This window comes from Homo sapiens, chromosome 22 (assembly GCF_000001405.40).
Source record: "Homo sapiens chromosome 22, GRCh38.p14 Primary Assembly".
Classification (NCBI taxonomy): Eukaryota; Metazoa; Chordata; class Mammalia; order Primates; family Hominidae; genus Homo; species Homo sapiens.
The window spans coordinates 45,210,412-45,228,722 of record NC_000022.11 but is presented as its reverse complement, the minus strand read 5'-3'; the positions used below and the strand labels follow the sequence as shown (position 1 = coordinate 45,228,722).

The 18,311-nt window shown below is 51.2% G+C and overlaps 1 protein-coding gene across 2 annotated transcripts in view, besides 9 other annotated features; it reads left to right on the top strand.

Moving 5' to 3' along the window:
• The window catches only part of KIAA0930, a 48,651-nt gene that overhangs the window by 12,172 nt on the left and 18,168 nt on the right, over positions 1 to 18,311 (top strand). The window contains exons 1-2 of one of the 2 annotated variants that reach the window (NM_015264.2): positions 16,339 to 16,458; positions 16,616 to 16,767. In NM_015264.2, coding sequence (NP_056079.1) covers positions 16,380 to 16,458; positions 16,616 to 16,767 — 231 coding nt within the window. In that variant the 5' untranslated portion in view covers positions 16,339 to 16,379. Of the gene's footprint in view, positions 1 to 16,338; positions 16,459 to 16,615; positions 16,768 to 18,311 lie in introns of those variants that run through there. The other variant, NM_001009880.2, reaches the window with a different exon arrangement.
• Positions 2,311 to 3,303: an enhancer, noted in NCBI's record as "H3K27ac-H3K4me1 hESC enhancer chr22:45621301-45622293 (GRCh37/hg19 assembly coordinates)". NCBI's record gives its function as "activates a minimal SCP1, AML or CMV promoter by ChIP-STARR-seq in naive H9 embryonic stem cells {active_cell/tissue: H9 hESC(naive)}" and the evidence as "EXISTENCE:reporter gene assay evidence [ECO:0000049][PMID:30033119]".
• Positions 2,518 to 2,662: an enhancer, noted in NCBI's record as "145 bp 22:45622014 sequence used in MPRA reporter constructs". NCBI's record gives its function as "activates a minimal TATA-containing promoter with rs6007506 allelic activity by MPRAs in C283T melanocytes and UACC903 melanoma cells {active_cell/tissue: C283T | UACC903}" and the evidence as "EXISTENCE:reporter gene assay evidence [ECO:0000049][PMID:36423637]".
• Position 2,590: a transcriptional cis regulatory region, noted in NCBI's record as "rs6007506 or 22:45622014 MPRA-significant variant associated with a GWAS melanoma risk locus at 22q13.31". NCBI's record gives its function as "allelic transcriptional activity by MPRAs in C283T melanocytes and UACC903 melanoma cells {active_cell/tissue: C283T | UACC903}" and the evidence as "EXISTENCE:reporter gene assay evidence [ECO:0000049][PMID:36423637]".
• Positions 3,304 to 4,298: an enhancer, noted in NCBI's record as "H3K27ac-H3K4me1 hESC enhancer chr22:45620306-45621300 (GRCh37/hg19 assembly coordinates)". NCBI's record gives its function as "activates a minimal SCP1, AML or CMV promoter by ChIP-STARR-seq in naive H9 embryonic stem cells {active_cell/tissue: H9 hESC(naive)}" and the evidence as "EXISTENCE:reporter gene assay evidence [ECO:0000049][PMID:30033119]".
• Positions 4,500 to 4,999: an enhancer, noted in NCBI's record as "H3K4me1 hESC enhancer chr22:45619605-45620104 (GRCh37/hg19 assembly coordinates)". NCBI's record gives its function as "activates a minimal SCP1, AML or CMV promoter by ChIP-STARR-seq in naive H9 embryonic stem cells {active_cell/tissue: H9 hESC(naive)}" and the evidence as "EXISTENCE:reporter gene assay evidence [ECO:0000049][PMID:30033119]".
• Positions 5,000 to 5,501: an enhancer, noted in NCBI's record as "H3K4me1 hESC enhancer chr22:45619103-45619604 (GRCh37/hg19 assembly coordinates)". NCBI's record gives its function as "activates a minimal SCP1, AML or CMV promoter by ChIP-STARR-seq in naive H9 embryonic stem cells {active_cell/tissue: H9 hESC(naive)}" and the evidence as "EXISTENCE:reporter gene assay evidence [ECO:0000049][PMID:30033119]".
• Positions 16,002 to 16,551: an enhancer, noted in NCBI's record as "H3K27ac-H3K4me1 hESC enhancer chr22:45608053-45608602 (GRCh37/hg19 assembly coordinates)". NCBI's record gives its function as "activates a minimal SCP1, AML or CMV promoter by ChIP-STARR-seq in naive H9 embryonic stem cells {active_cell/tissue: H9 hESC(naive)}" and the evidence as "EXISTENCE:reporter gene assay evidence [ECO:0000049][PMID:30033119]".
• Positions 16,552 to 17,101: an enhancer, noted in NCBI's record as "H3K27ac-H3K4me1 hESC enhancer chr22:45607503-45608052 (GRCh37/hg19 assembly coordinates)". NCBI's record gives its function as "activates a minimal SCP1, AML or CMV promoter by ChIP-STARR-seq in naive H9 embryonic stem cells {active_cell/tissue: H9 hESC(naive)}" and the evidence as "EXISTENCE:reporter gene assay evidence [ECO:0000049][PMID:30033119]".
• Positions 17,233 to 17,733: an enhancer, noted in NCBI's record as "H3K4me1 hESC enhancer chr22:45606871-45607371 (GRCh37/hg19 assembly coordinates)". NCBI's record gives its function as "activates a minimal SCP1, AML or CMV promoter by ChIP-STARR-seq in naive H9 embryonic stem cells {active_cell/tissue: H9 hESC(naive)}" and the evidence as "EXISTENCE:reporter gene assay evidence [ECO:0000049][PMID:30033119]".

The window sequence follows — 18,311 nt, the reverse complement described above, 5'->3', positions numbered from 1 at the left end:
TCGGGTGAGTGTTTGGTGGTTGGGGGGGTGGAGAGGGATCTTTCCGGTGAAGAGGTGATCATTTGTTGGGGAACTGGCCCTTGAGCGAGGTATTGCCCACACAGGGCCCTGCCTGAGCAGAGGCGGCAGGAAAAGGGCAATGAAGGTTCACACTGTAATTTGCTGAGCCGCTTCTGGGAAGTCACTGTAGGCCTCTGGGCTCTGTTCCCCTTTGCAGAGTAGTACTGCTTGCTGCTCTATCTCTGCCTGAGGAAGGAGCGAGGGTCAGACCTAGAGCCTCAGAGCGTGTCATGGAGGCTGCTGTGACAGGTGGCAGCGCTGTGCCTCAGTTTCCTTTTATGAATTAGGGAGAAGAAGGTTGGCCTGGTCACTGCTCACAGCCAAGGTTCTGGGACACATTTCACTGGTCCACACTCTTAACCACTTGAAACCAAGCCACTTGTAAAAAGCACTGTGGGTAGGCAGGACCAGCTGCTCAGGGAGGTTGATGCTGTGTGTGCTGGGGATCGGGGACATCAGAAGTGAAGGAAGCAAGACAAGCGAGAAGAATCACACCCCACTCTGGCCCCACAAAATAGAAATCGAACCCTCTCATCCCACAACCCTGTGAACTGTGACTTCACACTTTGGGTCCTAGATTTCCTGCCCCAAACCCCCAGCTCTATCTGCAGGTCCCTCCTGCCAGCCCACGGATTGTCTGCATTGGCCGGTGCTGACCTGGGCCATCCCTGAGACCATGCCTACCAGGGGTGTAGGGGTCTAGGATTCCAGGTTTCTCCTGATCCAGGGAGGAGGGAGCTGCCCCCGCACACAGTGGGAGCTCGTTAGCTGCTGCTCAGCTCCCGGGAGCCCTCTCCCTGCAGCAAACCCCGATGGATCCGCCCCAGCCGGAGCTGCTTCTGCTTTAGGGTACAGGGATGAGGTCATCTCTATCAGAGGCTGCGACAAGAAGAAGGCTCTGCGTCCAGGATCCTTCCCTGAAGTTCAGTGGGGCCCGTTCTCTCCCGGGGACAGTTGGAGCCAGAACCACTGCAGTCCCCTTTACGGAGGGGACTTCATTTCCTCCAGTATTGTATTGGCAGCGTTTCATTCCAGTGACAGCCCGGTGACGTGAGGGGTGTTGTCCCTGTTGGCAGAGGGAGACAGTGGGACTTAGGCTAAGGCACTTGTGCAGGGTCCCATAGCAGCAGGGGATGTTGGACCTAATTGTCCTGGATTCGAGGCTGGCGCTTCCCTTCTCATGCTCAAACATATCCCTTTCTCCAGAGAAGGATGTTCGATGCCCTTTTTTTCCTGGGTGGGCCTGTCCTGGCATAGTGTACGAGGCAGAGCCCAGCCCCCTGGTTTTCACAATGCAGTGGGTCTCAGAAGTCAGAGTAGAGGAGGGCTAGGAATGAGGGTTGGTGTGGGAGTGGGCATTTCCAAGGACGTTGCCTGCGGAGAGCATGAGATCGAGCAGGGGACTGAGACCCCTGGGAAGGCAGAGCCGCAGAAGGGCCCAGAAGGTGCTTTGCATCCTTGTCCTGTGTGGTGTGTCGTTGCCTTGCACCTAGTACATGTGGGCCTGCACACTGAGCACCTGCCGTGGGCCGGGTGCTGGGCACAAGGGTGGGTGGCATTGGCGGATGGGTCCAGCTGTGTGCCTGGCTCCTGGCTCAGGGCCCGGGCAGGGAGTGGAGGAGTGAGGGAGCAGCTGAAGCACATGGCCTGAGTTCCTCTGCCAGGGTTTGGCATCTCTGCAGATATCGTGAGCTGGGGGCGTGGGTGGGCCTCAAGGTTCAAGGGTTCTGTGACTTCCTCGTGCCATAGAGCATGCTGGCATGGAGGCGGGAGGAGGTGGAATGATGACTGGGCAGTGGCTGGGTGGCCTCAAGCCCAGGCAGTGGAGGAAAGGGCGGGGAAGCTGGCAGTGCTGGCTCTTGGCTGAGATGGGGCACCTTTGCGTGAGTGTCAGGAGAAGCTTGAGAAATTACTCAGGAAGTGGTCGGTCGGTCGGTCAGCTGGTCATGTAGGAGGCCATTTTCTGTGTCTGAGCAGAGCAGTGAGTTAGGATCTTGGATAAGGCCCCTGTGAGGATGATCTCACAGAAAACAGGAATTTGAATATGGAACCACTGTTTCAGCTTGATGATTGTGCTTAGGAGATATTGAAACTGTCTGGAAACAGCTGTGGGGTCGGGGCGGGCAGCAGGTGCGGTGGTCACAGGAGGTAGGGGGCTTTGTGGGAATTGTTGCTTAGAGGAGGATAAAGGATGCTTTATGGGAGCCCCAATCCAGCAGGAGCCTCCCCCGCCATGCAAGGCACCTTGAGGTCAGGGTTTGTTCCCCTTTGTCCCCTAGGACCTCATGCAGCGCCTGGGGCAGAGCAGGCCCACAGAACTGGATACGAAGCCCAACCCCACGAGCTTGCCAGGTGCCCGGACTTGAAGGTCTCGGTTTCCTTAACTGTAAAATGGCTGTTAGGTGGTCACACATGTGGCCTGGGGATTGTGAAAGCACTTCGAGGATTTCACAGCGTTGTGCAAGTCTAAGACAGGCCCATGAATAAAGTTCTGCCTGCCAGCAGCTGAGGGTGAGTGGAGAGGCTGCCGCGTGCTCTCTGAACGCACCGAGGACAGGGCTCGGCACGTCCTGTGTTTCTTGTCGTTCACTGGCTCTCTGTGGTGGATACTGCCCTGCGCTGGGCCCCGGACGCCCTGCCAGCAAAGGGCCTTTTCTGGGTGGGGAGGGGCCAGTGTGACAAGCCTGCAGTGTGGAGCCAGGAGCGTGGCTTTGCAGGCAGGTGGGGCTTTGGCCTGGCCCTGACAGGCCTGACTGCAGACCAGGCGCTCGGGCCTTGAGCCCCAAGTTCCTCATCAGATCAATGAAGGGAATTATTCTTACCTCTCAGGATCTTTGTGAAGATCAAGTGAGGCAATGCCGTCAGGTGCACGTGGGCACGGGCAGCACTCGGGATGTCTTGCAGGGCCCCAGCTGGGTCAGGGAAGGCCGGTGCTGGGGTGGGGTGGTAAGGAAGGCACCCCGAGGGGGTGACTGCAAAGGTGGAGGTGGCCCCTGAGCTGACCTGCACAGGCCAAGTTGGAATGGGCGCCGTGCTTGTGCCCTGTGCCCTGTGGTGTGGTCGAGACCTGGTGAGAGGGAGCAAGGCTCTCCAGGGGGATGCAGGGCGTTTGGTCAGAGAAGAAGGGCCGAGGCTGGCTGGAACATCGGGGACCACATGGCAGATGCGGGGGCTGCCTGGAGAGCCTGGCTTGCCTGGTAAGGGAGCCTGGACTTCTTCCAAAGGAAGATGTGAAACCAGGCAGGGGTTTTAGGCACGCAACGTGGAGACCCCACGCTTCCCTTTGGTCAGAGGAGAGGGCATGGCACTGCTCACGTGGGGACTCAATGGTCCAGCTCCCCTCCCCCAAGTGCCTCGTCAGAGCAGCCAGGGGCCTCCCTGGACAGTGCCTTTGTTTTCTGTGCCCCGAGGGAGGGAGGCCCTCAGCTGGAGAGGCTCTGGGAGAGGCTCTGCGAGGCACGAGTGGATGAAAGGCCTATTGAGGGGCCACAGAAGCCCATTCAGCCAGCCCTGGCTGCCTGGGTGCGGAGGCTTACAGAGGGCCAAGGGCCGCCTGGACTCTCCCCAAAGAGTCCAGTTGACCCCCACCTTTGGACCATGACCAGGGCCAAGTGGAGTCTATTGCTGAGCCCGGTGTTCTCTGGAGAGGACCCTCTCAAGGCCCTTGACCCAGACAGTCCCGGGACAGGCACCCAGCATCTGCAGGCCACCCCACGGCAGACGCCTTCTCAGCCCCCTCCCCACCAAACACTTCAGGGGTCCCCAGCCCTCTGGGGATAACACAGAACCCCTGACCCAGGGAAGAGGGCCCGGCCCCTCCAGCTCTTCTTCCCACTCTACTTCCTCAGCCTCAGGGCTGATCCACCATCCTGGCCTCACTCATCTTCCCCCAAGGGGAGCGTTGAATGCCGTCCACCTTTGCCTGCTTGATTCCTAGTTTTCCTTGAGTCTCCAGCTGACTGGCATTCCCTGTCCAGCCACCACCTTCTACTGGTGCCTGCCACAGCTACCATCTCACTTCTGTCTGTGTTACTTAAAATTCATCCTGCTTCCACTGAAGCTGGGGATGGCGGGGGCAGCAGGGACCGCATGAGACCAAACTAACTGATGTGAGGACGAGTGGGTTCAAACACCAGCTTCCAACCGCGGGAGCCGGGCAGTCTCCCTCCTGCCATGTCCTCGTTTGTAAAATAAACTGCTTCAGTTGTTGTGAGATCAAGAGCGTCAGGCCTCAGTGTTGAGCACCACGCCTGGCACACAGGCAGCCCTGGGTGTATTTGTAAACATGCCGCAGAGTATTTGTAAAACAGGACGAAGTTATTCTGGCCTCACTTTTTTTTGTCTTTGTTTTATTTGCGGGATGAGGATCTGTGCACTGCACCACTCTTAACCCTTCACTGTGGGCATGTGCGTGTAATTCCTTCAGTCTTTCCTCCTAGGCATTTTTTAAAATAGACAGTTTCCTTCATTTAAGTATTCAGGTATAATTTTGTGTCCTGGCTTTTTTCCTCTACCATGAGCGTTTTTCCAAGTAACTGCATTGTTAGAAATATTTTGGTTACTTTTTGGATAGGTAAACGTGCTCAGGGTACAAAATACAAAAGGTTTGAGAAGGTTCTTAATGAAAACACTGAGTCTTTCTCCTTCATAGTTTTTCTCCCCAGAGGCCATGAGGATACTAGTAATGATGTAATAATACTTTCCCACCCTGGGTGCTGGCTCAGTGGTTACCCTGGGTGCTCATCTGGTGCTGATCCTGGGTGCTGTCTCAGTGCTGACCCTGGGTGCTTATCTGGTGCTGATCCTGGGTGCTCATCTGGTGCTGATCCTGGGTGCTCATCTGGTGCTGATCCTGGGTGCTGTCTCAGTGCTGACCCTGGGTGCTTATCTGGTGCTGATCCTGGGTGCTGTCTCAGTGCTGACCCTGGGTGCTCATCTGGTGCTGTTCCTGGGTGCTAGCTTAGTGCTGACCCTGGGTGCTGGCTTAATGCTGACCCTGGGTGCTGGCTTAGTGCTGACCTTGGGTGCTTATCTGGTGCTGATCCTAGTTGCTGGCTCAGTGCTGACCCTGGGTGCTTATCTGGTGCTGATCCTAGGTGCTGGCTCGGTGCCAGCACAATTTTAAAGGCTTCACGTGGATGGACTAACTTTCAACAACCCAGGAGGTAGATACCATTGTTACTGCCATTTTACAAGTCAGGAAACAGGCACCAGGAGGTTTGGATTTGTCTGTCACATGACCAGAACTGCCAGAGCCAGGATGGACCCTGACCATCTGGCTTCCTCACCTCCCTTCTCTTCCGCAGGCTCCAGCAAGCATTGGAGTCATCTTAAACGATTGGCTTTAATAGGAAAAACCTCTAATATTGGTCTGCTCTCCATTTTTTGCTTCATTTATTCTAGAGAACTTTCTTCCTTGGAACAGATAGAGTTGCTTCAATCTTTTTTAATTGCTGCGTAGTGTTCTGTTCTGTGAATGTCTTATAAGTTAGTTTATTTAATTACTATCCCTATTGATAGGACCACTCCACTATTTTGCCAACAGTGCTGTAATGCTTAAAGAATCTTATGTAGGTGGTAGGTAGTGAGACCACAGGGAAAAATTCATCTGTGGGATCGCTGGGTCAGAGGTAAAATGCGTTTGTGATTTTGACTGTCTGATATTTTTGGCAGTTTACGTTCCTACTGCAGGATATAAAGTCCCTGTTTCTCCACATCCTCTTTGACCTGAAGTGTTGTCAGGTATTTTGATCTTTGCAAACCTGATAGATGGAAAATAGAATTTTGAGGCTTTAATTTACATTTCTCTAATTGTGTCAAGCTGAGCATGTTTTTGTGTTCTAAAACCACTTATATTTCCTTCTGCTTTCCGTGCCATTTTATTTTCTTATGCATTGTGTACAACTTAGTATTTGTTAAGGAAATTGCCCTCATGTAAGGGTTCCGTCTGTGTTTCCAGTGTGGTATTTGTTTTTTGCTTTGTTTATGGTGTATGTGTGTGGTGGTGGGGGGGCGGGGGTGGTTTTTTTTCCCCTATAGAAATTTTTAATTTTTGGCCAGGCCCAGTGGCTCATGCTTGTAATCCCAGCACTTTGGGAGGCCAAGGCAAGCGGATTGCTTGAGCTCAGGAGTTTGAGACCAGCTGGGCAACATAGTGAGACCTCATCTCTACAAAAAATACAAAAAGTAGCCAGGTGTGGTGGCGTGCGCCTATAGTCCCAGCCACTTAGGAGGCTGAGGTGGGAGGATCACTTGAGCCTGTTGAGGTCAAAGTTGCAGTGATTGTGCTACTGGACTCCAGCCTAGGTGACAGAGTGGGACCCTGTCTCAAATAAGAGAAATTTTAAGTGTTTATATAGTTTGATTGATCATTCTTCTCCTTAATAGCTTTTATGTTCTCCTTAGAAAGGCTTCTCCCTCTCTGAGGGAATAAAAAATCCTCTCATGGTTTTTCTTTTTTATAGTTTTACTTTTAACATTAAAAGTTTTAATCTTTTTGGAATTTATTTTGGCTTGAGCAGGGACCCAACCTTATTCTTTTTCCTCAGCAAGCCACTTGTACCAAGACCAATTGTGGAAGAATAATCTACATCCTATTGATTTCAAGTGCTGTCTTCATAAAAACTCTTGGCCAGGCGCAGTGGCTCATGCCTGTAATCCCAGCACTTTGGGAGGCCAAGGCGGGCAGATAACCTGAGGTCAGGAGTTTGAGACCAGTCTGGTCACCATGGTGATACCCCGTCTCTACTAAAATAGAAAAATTAGCCTGGCGTGGTTGCGCATGCCTGTAGTCCCAGCTACTCAGGAGGCTGAGGCAGGAGAATCGCTTGAACCTGGGAGGCAAAGATTGTTGTGAGCCAAGATCGTGCCACCGTACTCCAGCCTGGGCAACAAGAGTGAGACTCTGTCTCAAAAAACAACAACAACAACAACAAAAACCCAGTTATTGTGTGTTTGAGTTTTGTGTTTTTGCTTTCTATTCTGTTCCATTGATCTGTCCAGTCATGTACTGATACCACCTTGCTTTCATTAATCATTTAATTCATTTATTCAATTAGCACATATTTATTATGTCATATATGCCATTCTGGAAACTAAATGTATAGCATTGAACAAAATGATCATAGAGCAAAGCTAATGATGTGTTCATGGAGCTTAAGTTCTGGTAGGGCATCTGCGTGAAAACATACATCAGCTTTGGTAGGGCAGGTGTTGGCAAACTATAACCCTAAATCCGGACTGTTTCCTGTTTTTGTAAAGAAACTTTTATTGGAACATAGCCATGTCCATTTCCTTACATATCGCCATGGCATGCCATTTCTTTACGTACTGCCATGCCATTTGCAGCTATGGTCTGCAAAGCTGAAGATATTTTCTCTCTGGACTTTCATGGAATTTGCTGACTCCTTTGCTAGGGAAAGACTGAAAGTAAACAGAATAGGCAAAATATATATTCGATAGTGACAAGTGCTGTGGAGAAAAATCAAGCTGGAAGTGGGATAGGGCATATTGAGGGTGGGATTTGCAATTTTAAATCAGGTGGTTTGAGAAGGCCTGTCTGAGAAGGTGATAGTTCAGTAAAGAGCCTGGGGGCAGGTCAGGAAATAAGCTTGGTGGAGGAATTTGAGCTGAAAAGTGACCAGAACTGATGTGTGTTCTAACAGTGGGCAGGGTGGAAACGCAGAGACCAGTGAGCAGGCAGTGATGGTGATACAGGCCAGGATGGGGACGCTTAGCACAAGGTGGAAGCAGTGTTTTGTGAGAAGTGGGTGGGGTTGGGGGGGCCGGGCACAGTGGCTCACACGTGTAATCCCAGCACTTAGGAAGGCCTAGGTGGGAGGATCGCTTGAGCCCAGGAGTTCAAGACCAGCCTGGGCAACATGGCGAAACCCTGCCTCTACAAAGAATACAAAACACAGCTGGGCATGGTATTGCATGCCTGTAGTCCCAGCTACTTGGGAAAGTAAGGTGGGAGGATCGCTTGAGGCTGGAGGTCGAGGCTGCAGTGTGTCGTGATCATAGCACTGTGCTCCAGCCTGGGTGACATAGATAGACCCTGTCCCAACATAAAATAATAAATAAAAATCAAGAATGCGTGTTGAATTTGATTGAATGCTCCTTCAGCATCTGTGGAGATAATCCTGTGTTATTTCTCTTTTGAGCTCTAAATAGATATGAATATATTAATAGATTTTCTAATATTGAACCTTTTTTTTTTGGAGACTGAGTCTCTGTCGCCAGGCTGGAGTGGCCCGATCTCGATCACTGCAACCTCCGCCTCCTGGATTCAAGCAATTCTCCTGCTTTAACCTCCTGAGTAGCTGGAATTATAGGCACCTGCCACCGCACCCGGCTAATTTTTTTGTATTTTTAGTAGAGACGGGGTTTTACCATGTTTGCCAGGCTGGTCTTGAACTCCTGACCTCAGGTAATCCTCCTGCCTCGGCCTCCCAAAGTGCTAGGATTACAGACGTGAGCCTCTGAGCTTGGCCTAGACCATTCTTTATTCCCAGTTAAATTCTGCTTGGCCAATGGCATATATTTTTAATAAGTTGCTGGATTCTTTTAAATACTATTTTTAAGATTTTTGTCTTGACATCTGTGAGATTAGCCTGTAATTTTCTGTGTGTGTGGTCTTCGAAATCAATACTGTGCCTCCTTGTGAAAAAGAATTGGCATGTTTCTTAGGCTCTGAAGTTGTGTGAGTAGCCCTGAAGCTAGCTGTCTGTTTCCTGAAAATCTGATAGGATTGCCTTCCCAAAATCACTTCTTGGGCTGGGCGCAGTGGTTCACACCTGTAATCCCAGCACTTTGGGAGGCCAAGCAGGCGGATTGCTTGAGCTCAGGCACTCAAGACCAGCCTGGGCAACATGGTGAAACCTGTCTCTACCAAAAATACAAAAATTAGCTGGGTCTGGTGGTGCATGTCTGTGGTTCCAGCTACTCAGGAGGCTGAAACAGGAGGATGGCTTGAGCCCAGGAAATGGAGGTTGCAGTGAGCCGAGATCACATGATGTTATTCCAGCCTGGGTGACACTGAGACTCCATCTTAAAAAAAAAAAAAAAAAAAAAAAAAAAAACAATCACCTCTTGGCCTGCTGTGTTAATGTACTTTTTTGGGAGATAGTTCTTGGACATTTTTCTTTATTTAATACAGAACCATCATTTTTAATGGCTATAAACTATTTTAATCAGGGCTTTACCATAACTTGCTTGTGTGGTTTAATGGTTTAATCCTTTTCTAAAAAAGGATTGGGGTGGGTTTCAAGGAATGCCTCCTAAAGTAATTCGCGATTATTCCCAGGGTCTGGTTAGTGGAAAATGTTCCAAGTTATCATAGTAACCACAGTGGCAGTTGTCATTCATCGTTTCTAAGTGCGTGTTGCACTGCTGAGCACTGTGTAGGAGCTCATTTGGTCTCCATGGTAACCGTAGGAGGCAGCTGTTCTGATTTTACTGATGAGGAAACTGAAGGTCTGAGAGGTTCAGTCACTTACCCACGTGGGCAGTGCATCACAAATGGGAATCAAGTCTGCTCTTGAACTCCAATCTGACAGTCTTCCCCCATCCCATATTGTGATTGGATTCACGTGAAATGCCTCGAAAGATAAAAGTTTCCCTTTTCAGTGTGCATCTGAAGAACCATCCCCATGGAAAATAATTAAATTATGTTAAATTGGCACTCGGCTGGAAAGTGGATCCCACAGCCCCTGTGCATGAAGCTCTTGTCTGAAGTTCTTTCACGGGTTCTTAGACTATCCCAGGAAGCCCTGATGGTGCTTCAGGGCTCAGAGTGGCCCCTGTGAGCCCACCCCGCTGGGGACTCAGAAGTTGGGGGAGGGGAGAGGTCTGAAAGCCTGAATTGCTTTCCTAGCTGTTCACCAGGTGACCCCCGGGTTCGCTTAGTTTCTGCATTTGTAACATAGCTGGGAGAATCCTCCTGCAGGGCCAGGCTAAGGATAAGGATGTGGGCTTATCCAGGAGAAGGATATGGGCTCTGTTGGAGGGGCTGGGTTTGTGTCTCAGCTCCTGCACACACCATCTAGCCACTAGAGTCTCAAGTTTTGGTTGAAAATGAAGACTGAGGTTTGAAACTAAGCTGAGGTGGTCCCCACCTCATAAAGTTGCCATGAGGATCTGAAAAGACAATGGGTGAAAGGGCTTTATAAACTGTAGGGTGGCCGAGCGTAGTGGCTCACACCTGTAATCCCAGCACTTTGGGAGGCTGAGGCAGGTGGATCACCTGAGGTCAGGAGTTTGAGACCAGCCTGGCCAACATGGTGAAACCCTGTCTCTACTAAAAAAAAAAAAAAAAAAAAAAAAAAAAAATCAAAAAAATTAGCTGGGTGTGATGGTGCATGCCTGTAATCACACCTACTTGGGAGGCTGAGATGGGAGAATCACCTGAACCTGGGAGGCTGAGGTTGCAGTGAGCCGAGATCGTGCCATTGCACTCCAGCCTGAGCGACAAGAACAAAACTCTGTCTCAAAAATAAATGAATAAATAAACACACTGTAGGGTGCAGGGCACGCGCGAGCTGTCATCACGTTCCTCGCTCCTGAAACCAGCACTGTTGAGCTCTTGGTGCTGTCATGCCACCAGTCCAGCGTCGTGCAGAACCAGGAGGAGAGTTAGTGGCAATTCAGAGGTGGCAGACACCGCACTGGGGTGTGGACGGCCCAGGCTTAGTGCTCACTTCCCACGCGCCCTCTCCCCTGCTAGTCCCTGGAGTCACTCACCTGGAAAGGGCTCTTCCAGTTCTGGAGTTCGAAGAGAGTGACTTACAGAAGCAGGTCACTCGCTTGAGGCAGGGGAGACAGCTGGATCACCAGAACTCCTGGCAAATATCAGTTTTCCTGGTCCAGGCCATTGTCATTATTCACGGATTCACCTACTCACTGAAATTTATTTGTAACCCTAAAATCAGTACTCATGGCACTTTCGGGTTAATGACTGACATTCATGCAGTGTCGAAAAATTCCTTACCTGACACAGGTTTCCAGCTGAGGTCAGACAAGGCGATGCTCCGTCTCACACTGTAAAGAAGTGTCCTTTTTGCAGTCTAGTTAGTGCCATGTATTTTGCATTTTTTGTGCTTTTTGTCAGTGCTTTAAAATGGCCCTGGGCTGAGATGCTATCTAGTCCCAGGCACAAGATGGCTGTGATGTACTTTATGGAGAAAATACATGTGTTAGAGAAGCTTCGTTCAACATTGATTGTTGTTGGCCATGAGTTCAGTGTTAGTGAATGAACTATATGTTAAATATGGTGTCTTTTTTTTTTTTTTTTTTTTTTTTTTTTGAGACGGGGTCTTGCTCTGTCTCCCAGGCTAGAGTGCAGTGGCGTGATTTTAGCTCACTGCAACTTCCGCCTCCCGGGTTCAAGCGATTCTTCTGCCTTAGCCTCCCAAATAGCTGGGATTACAGGCGCCCGCCACCATGCCCGGCTAATTTTTGTATTTTTAGTAGAGATGGGGTTTTGCGATGTTGGCTAGGCTGGTCTTGAACTCCTGACCTCAAGTATTCTACCTGCCTTAGCGTTCCAAGGTGCTGGGATTACAGGCATGAACCGCCGCATCTGGCCTTAAATAAAGTGTCTTGAAAGAGAAACATACATAAAGTAAGGTTATGAATTGATCAGTTGCTGAAAATGTGATCAGAGGACCCTAACCTTGTATTTGCCTTAGGACCCAGTGGGTCGGTACTGACTAATTCAGTGTTCACGGCTGCCTCAAATCAGGAGAATGGATTATAATCTGGCTTCATAGGACCCCGGGAGGGAAGGGAGGGAAGGCAGGGCCGTGAGCACAGAGCTGTCCGAGGTGCTACCACCGTAAGCCTGGCTCAGCTTTCGGGGCCACATCTGCTTCCGTAAGTCTCCACTCTGCTTGAGGGTGGGGAAAACCTGCAGCCCTGACTGGCAAGACGGTAGGGAGAAGGGACAGAGAGGAGTCTGGAGACGACGAGGCTCTGTGCTGGACTAGCAGCTCCCGGGGCTTGTGACCCAGGGGATTTCTTGCTCGGCAGCCCCTGGGAAAGGGTGAAGGGAGAAGGGGTTTGCTTGTGGGAGAAAGAGTCAGCAGTGACTTCACAGGCCAGCTGTGCCTCGTGTGTTTATTCACAGCCAGTTGCTGCACCGTGAGGCCAAAGGATACTGGAAGGTTTGGGATCCACTGACGTCATCCAAGCAGGCCACACTGCCGTGCTCGGTGTCAGTGTTTCTGACATGCAGGGCAGCAGAGCAGAGGGTCTCCAGCAGCCCACATTGCAGCAGCTGGAGCCGTGCAGCCAGCAGAGCACTTTCACTTTCAGCCAAGTCCTCACCTTGGATTCTGGGAGGGTGGCAGGTTAGAGACCCATCTGACAGGTAGAACCACTGAGGGTCAGAGAGGTTGGCTGAATGAATTGGCCATCTGAGTAGGGAAGGGTGGCGTCAGGACCTGAGCACACATATGTTTGACTGCAACTCCTAACACTGTACTGTGCCTCCGGGAATCAGAGATATCCCTCCAGTCCCGACCTTTCCTGGCTCTTGGATGTGGAGTGTGTCTGTGTTTGCCTCCCTTCCTCCCTCTGAAGAGAGAGAATCTCTTTTCTCTCCACTCTCCCTGCTCCCTTTCTTTTGTTTTTTTTTTGAGACGGAGTCTCGCTCTGTCGCCCAGGCTGGAGAGCAGTGGCGCGATCTCGGCTCACTGCAGGCTCCGCCTCCCGGGTTCACGCCATTCTCCTGCCTCAGCCTCCCGAGTAGCTGGGACTACAGGCACCCGCCTCCCCGTTCCCTTTCTTAATGAGTCCTATGATATTAAAAGTTGTACATTCATGGGAGAAAGTATTATAATCTTATGACTGAAAATATTAAGTAAAAAAAAATGCTGTGTTCAATTCTTCCACTCCTAGCGTTCTCGTCTGTTTACCTCTGGTGTTTCCATGTGATTTACGTAGTTGTCATCATTGTGTCTACAACTTGGGGTTCCGCTTTTCCACTAAACATCGTATTACACGTATTCCCATGCATCTGTGTGTAGTCTTTATAGCCATCGTTTAAAAAGATTGGTGGCGATTTGGTTGAATCCGTATGGCATGCTTTACCTCGGGGAAATGTCAGAAATGGCAGGATATTGTGTCCTTTCCTTTCGTCGTCTTCATTGTGGTTATTGCTGTTATATTATTTTTTCTCATGAGTAACACACGAAATGTTTTTGTGCAGAAGGCCTTTAATTTTGTACTCTGCCGTCAGGTAGATGCATAGGAGTGAGAAAATGCTCTTTAGCTTCTCACATGTTTTGTTCTCTAGCATATCGGAGAGTTCCAGTTCAATGCACCCTTGCCAGCATTAGCTACAACTTAACAATTTTATTGGCATATGGTTTATGTAAAATAAACTGCATATATGTAGACTAAACAGTTTGATAAGTTTTTATGTTTTTTAAATTAATTAATTTTTTGAGACAGGGTCTCGCTCTGTCTCCCAGGCCGGAGTGCAGTGGCACAATCTCGACTCACTGCAGCCTCTGCCTCCCGGGTTCAAGTGATTCTAGTGCCTCAGCCTCCCGAGTAGCTGGGACTACAGGTGAGCACCACCACACCCACCTAAGTTTTGTATTTTTAATAGACATGGGGTTTCACCATGTTGCTCAGGCTGGTCTTGAACTCCTGACCTCCAGTGATCTGCCGGCCACAGCCTCCTAAAGTGCTGGAATTACAGGTGTGAGCCACTGCACCTGGCCTAAATTTTATTTTTTAATACCCTTTTAGAGACAGGGTCTCACTTTGTCCCCCAGGCAGGAGTGCAGTGGTTCGATCATAGCTGACTGCAGCCTCGAACTCCTGGGCTCAAGTGATCCTCCCACCTCAGCCTCCCTGGTAGCTGGGACCATAGCCACATGCCATCATGCCCAGCTAATTTTTATTTTTTTTTTAGAGACCAGGTCTCACTGTGTTGCCCAGGCTGACCTTGAACTCCTGGCCTAAAGCAGTCTTTCCGCCTTGGCCTCCCAAAGTGCTGGGATTACAGGTATGAGCTACCTCACCCGGCTAAGTTTGATGAGTTTTGATGGTTATACGCACCTGTGAAACCAGCGTCACAATCAAGATCTAGAACCTTTCAGGGCAACCACCCTCCTGCTTTAAGTCACTACGATTCCGCCTTTTCCGAAACATCGTGTGAATGTGATCATACAGTAAATAGCTTTTTGCGCCTGACTTCTTTTGCTCTGCAGGACAAGTTTGAGGTTTATCCACAGTGTAGTGTGGATCACTAGTTTGTTTTTATTGTGACATGTGTGCATTCTCCTGGTTTCCAGTTTGTGGCCGTTACGAATAAAGATGCTGTGAACATTTGTGTACCAGTCTCTGTGGACATGTGCTTCATTTCTCTTGGGCAGGTACCTAGGAGTGGCTAGTGGCTGGTTTTGTAAGTATATGTATAACTCTGTGAGAATCTGGCAGTTTTCTTAAGGGCTGTTTTGTTTGTTTGTTTGTTTGTTGAGACAGAGTCTCGTTCTGTTGCCCAGGCTGGAGTGCAGTGGCACGATCTTGGTTCACTGCAACCTCTGCCTCCCGGGCTCAAGTGATTCTCCTGCCTTAGCCTCTAGAGTAGCTGGGACTACAGGCGCCTGCCACCATGCCTGGCTTATTTATTTATTTATTTCCGAGATGGAGTCTTGCTCTGTCACCCAGGCTGGAGTGCAATGGTGCGATCTCGGCTCACTGCAACCTCTTGCCTCCCAGGTTCAAGTGATCTTCCCACCTCAGCCTCTCGAGTAGCTGGGATTACAGGCACCCGCCACCATGCCTGGCTAATTTTTGTGTTTTTACTAGATACAGGGTTTCACCATATTGGCCAGGCTGGTCTTGAACTCCTGACCTCAGGTGATCCACCCACCCCAGCCTCCCAAAGTACTGGGATGACAGGCATGAGCCACCACACCCAGCCAAGGGCTGGTTTTTAAAGACCAAATTTATTCTGTTATTCCGTTGGGCTCTAAGAGGGAACCAAAAGTGAAGCAATGTAAAGAGGAAGTAAAAAAGAATTGAAGTTTATCCAGGAATAATCACAGCGCTTTGCTTAATTTTGCAAGGGTCTGTAGTAGCGTGACTTGGGCTTTGCCTGTTGCAAAAACGCGGCAGGAATTTCAAAGCGACTCTGCAGACAGCACGCGTGTTTCGTTCCCCCGGGTCCTGTGAGCCTGGGAGGTCTTGCCAGTCCCGTGGGCTCTCCTGGCCCTCACCCCTGGAGGCTGACAAGGCTCGCTGACCCAGACCCTCACCGATGAAGCCTCCTTCTCTTTTCCTCCCTCTCACTGCCCTAGAGCCCAGGAGCCAGGCAGGGCATGGGAGTGGGTGAGCAACACACTGTTGGGCAGAGGGCTGAGGGCAGAGGGCAGAGGGCTGAGGGCTGAGGGCCGAGGGCTGGGGCTGGCTGTGAGTCCTGGTTCTTTGGTTAGTGTTGTGGCTGACGTCAACCAAGGCTGGGGTGTTCTGCATTTGACTCAGCTAGTGGCCGAGTCCTGGTCAGCCCACTGGCCTGCCTGTGAGCGCGAGAGAGGGTTCTGGCACCACTGGCCCTCACGTTCCCCATCTCTAAGTGTCGGGATTAGTGCCTTCCAGCCCGAGTACCAGCACTAGATTGCACTGGTCAGTGAGGAAGACAGAAAACAAAAGCAGACCCGGTTTAATCTACTGAGTTGATAAGAGAGAGCTTGGCTGCATATTTTGAAGTGTTGAATCTGTCTAGAGAGGGGACAGACCCACCTATGTTGATCCTGCTGTGTGCCCGTGGTCTCGGTTTGTCTGCATGTGCCCCGAGGAACCTGTGGCTCAGAGCCCCCGCCCATTGTCCCATCACCAGCGGCAGCGCTGGAATGGAAACCCAGATCTTCCCTACCAAAGCCTGTGGGCTTTTTCTCTTTTGCAGGAAAATATTACAAATATTTATCATAAAGAAATACCATTTGTAATAGAAGGAGAAGTCCCTGTGAGGATCAGATGAGCACGAAGCTGCGCAGACGTGGGGCAGGGGTGGGGCGGGTGCTGTCTCCCTGCGGTTCCCGCTTGCAGCCTTGGCTGGCTGGAGGGCGGCTGTCCCTTTAAGTCGGGTTCCCGCTGGGACTGCCGCAGCCAGGGGGAGTGGGTGGGGGTGAGAGATGTTGGTGAGAGCCCTGCCTCTCCAAAGGCTCCCCCCCAGCCAAGCCTTCCCGGCTTCCAGCCCAGACACCAGCCAGCCAGTGGCGTTCCTGGCTCCTCGGGATTTTCCTTTTCCTCCGAAGCTGCTGATTCATCCCCAGGCTGGAGTCAGGCTCAGCTGTGGGGCTGGGAGCATGGGCTCTCAGGCTGCTGCTGAGTGGAGGAACTGGGCCTCCTGGGAGGTGTCCTCCAGCCTCTCTGGATGCTCCATGGGTGGGGGTCGGGAGTGGTGAGGGAAGGGTGGCGCATCTCAGAGCCCTCGCAAATTTCTGGCCAGAAATGTGGGGGTATGGGCGCAGCTTGGCCAAGGCCATGCTGCAAGGGCCAGGGTGGCCGTCCTTCCTCACTCCTGTCTGGCCTCCCTCTGCAGGGTGCTTCAAGGATGACCGCATCGTCTTCTGGACTTGGATGTTCTCCACCTACTTCATGGAGAAATGGGCTCCCCGGCAGGACGACATGCTTTTCTATGTGCGCCGGAAGCTGGCGTACTCCGGCAGCGAAAGCGGTGCAGACGGGAGGAAGGTGAGTGACCCCCGGCCCCTGCCCCTGCGTCTGTGCCCCAAGCATCCCTGTGGTGTCTGCTCTCGGTGTACATGTGGGCTTTCCTACAGTGCTCATGCATATCAAAGAGGGTGAGTGATATTTATTGAGCACCTACTGTATTCCAGGAACTGTGTAGACAGTCTCATGTGCAAATCTGGATGTGCTGGGTGTCTGTACACATTGTCATTCATCTTCACTGTGACCCTGAAGGGCAGTGATTGCCGTCACCGTCGTAGCTTTGAGGAAACAGATCAGAGACAGCTAACTCGGCTGGCCTCTTATAATTAGTCAGTAGATGGTAGAGCAAAGGTCGGACTCCAGAGCCCAGGGCCCTCCCTTGGCCATGGCAGGGTGACCTGACTCAGTGGTGGTGATGATGACGGTGCCTTCCACTTACTGAGCCCTCGCCATCATCTAGACACAGTGCTGAGCTCTCTTCTTCTTAGCCTCCTTGTGAAGTCCCAACAACTCGACAGGGTGGGTGTTCTTACCCCTTTTACAGATGAGGAAACGGAGGGCTCGGAGATGAAGTGATTCGCCTAACGTATTTCATCCACTAAATCGCAGTGTGGGAGGAGCTAATAAAATACATTTTGCATGCTTCCTTCTCTGTTTTTCACAAGCTTTTGCTGTTCGTAAAATGTTTAATCAACTCCATATGCCAGACATGGAAACGCTTTTGTTTTCCTTCAAAAACAAGAAATGAGAGGGCCGTGTAGCTAGGTCTGGAACTTGCAGCCTGCCTGGCTCTGTAACTCCGGGGCCATGGTTTGCTGGCAGAGGCTCATGCAGGGATTACTTGGAGCCTGGTCTTGCCTTGGGCCCATTTTCTGAGCCTGAACACACGCGGGATGGATTTTCTGCAAGTGGAAGGGCCTGGGTGCCTGCATGCTGGCCCCGAGCCCTGAGCTAGCCCCACTTTGGAGGGACCAGCAGGAGACCATGAACAACTGGCCAGAGAGGTGGGGGAAGAGCCAGGAGAGGGGAGGGCACCCCAAGAGGGGAGGTCTGGAGACGTGGGTGCAGCCAGTGGGGTGCAGTGTCTGAAGGGCCCATTGGATTCGGTACCAGGGAGGGGTGGCGGCCTTGGCGCAGCAGTTTCAGTGGCGGGTGTGCAGGGACTAGAGCCACACTCGGGCAGGCAGGGTGTGCAGGGACTAGAGCCACACTCGGGCAGGCAGGGAATGCTTTCTGGGAGGGATGAAGAGGAGGCCTGACTGGTGATGGGATCCCCGAGTAAGAACCTTCTGGAGCTGGCTCAGGGCTCCTCAGAACCTGCTGCCACGCCCGCCCTGTCTGGGTGTACAATCGAGAGACCAGCTTTCAAGGCCAGTCTTGTTTTTCCCTGGTTTACCATATGACACTGCCAGGTCATCTCCTCTCTGGGGTAAAAGGGGATCAGGGCAGGTGCCCCGAAAGGTGAGGGCCCTCCCATTCTGGACACCTGGGAGGCTGGGATGTTTGGGGTTAGTGTGACCATATGAGTGCCCTTGGCAGGGGGGTGGATGGTGCCTCAGGATCCT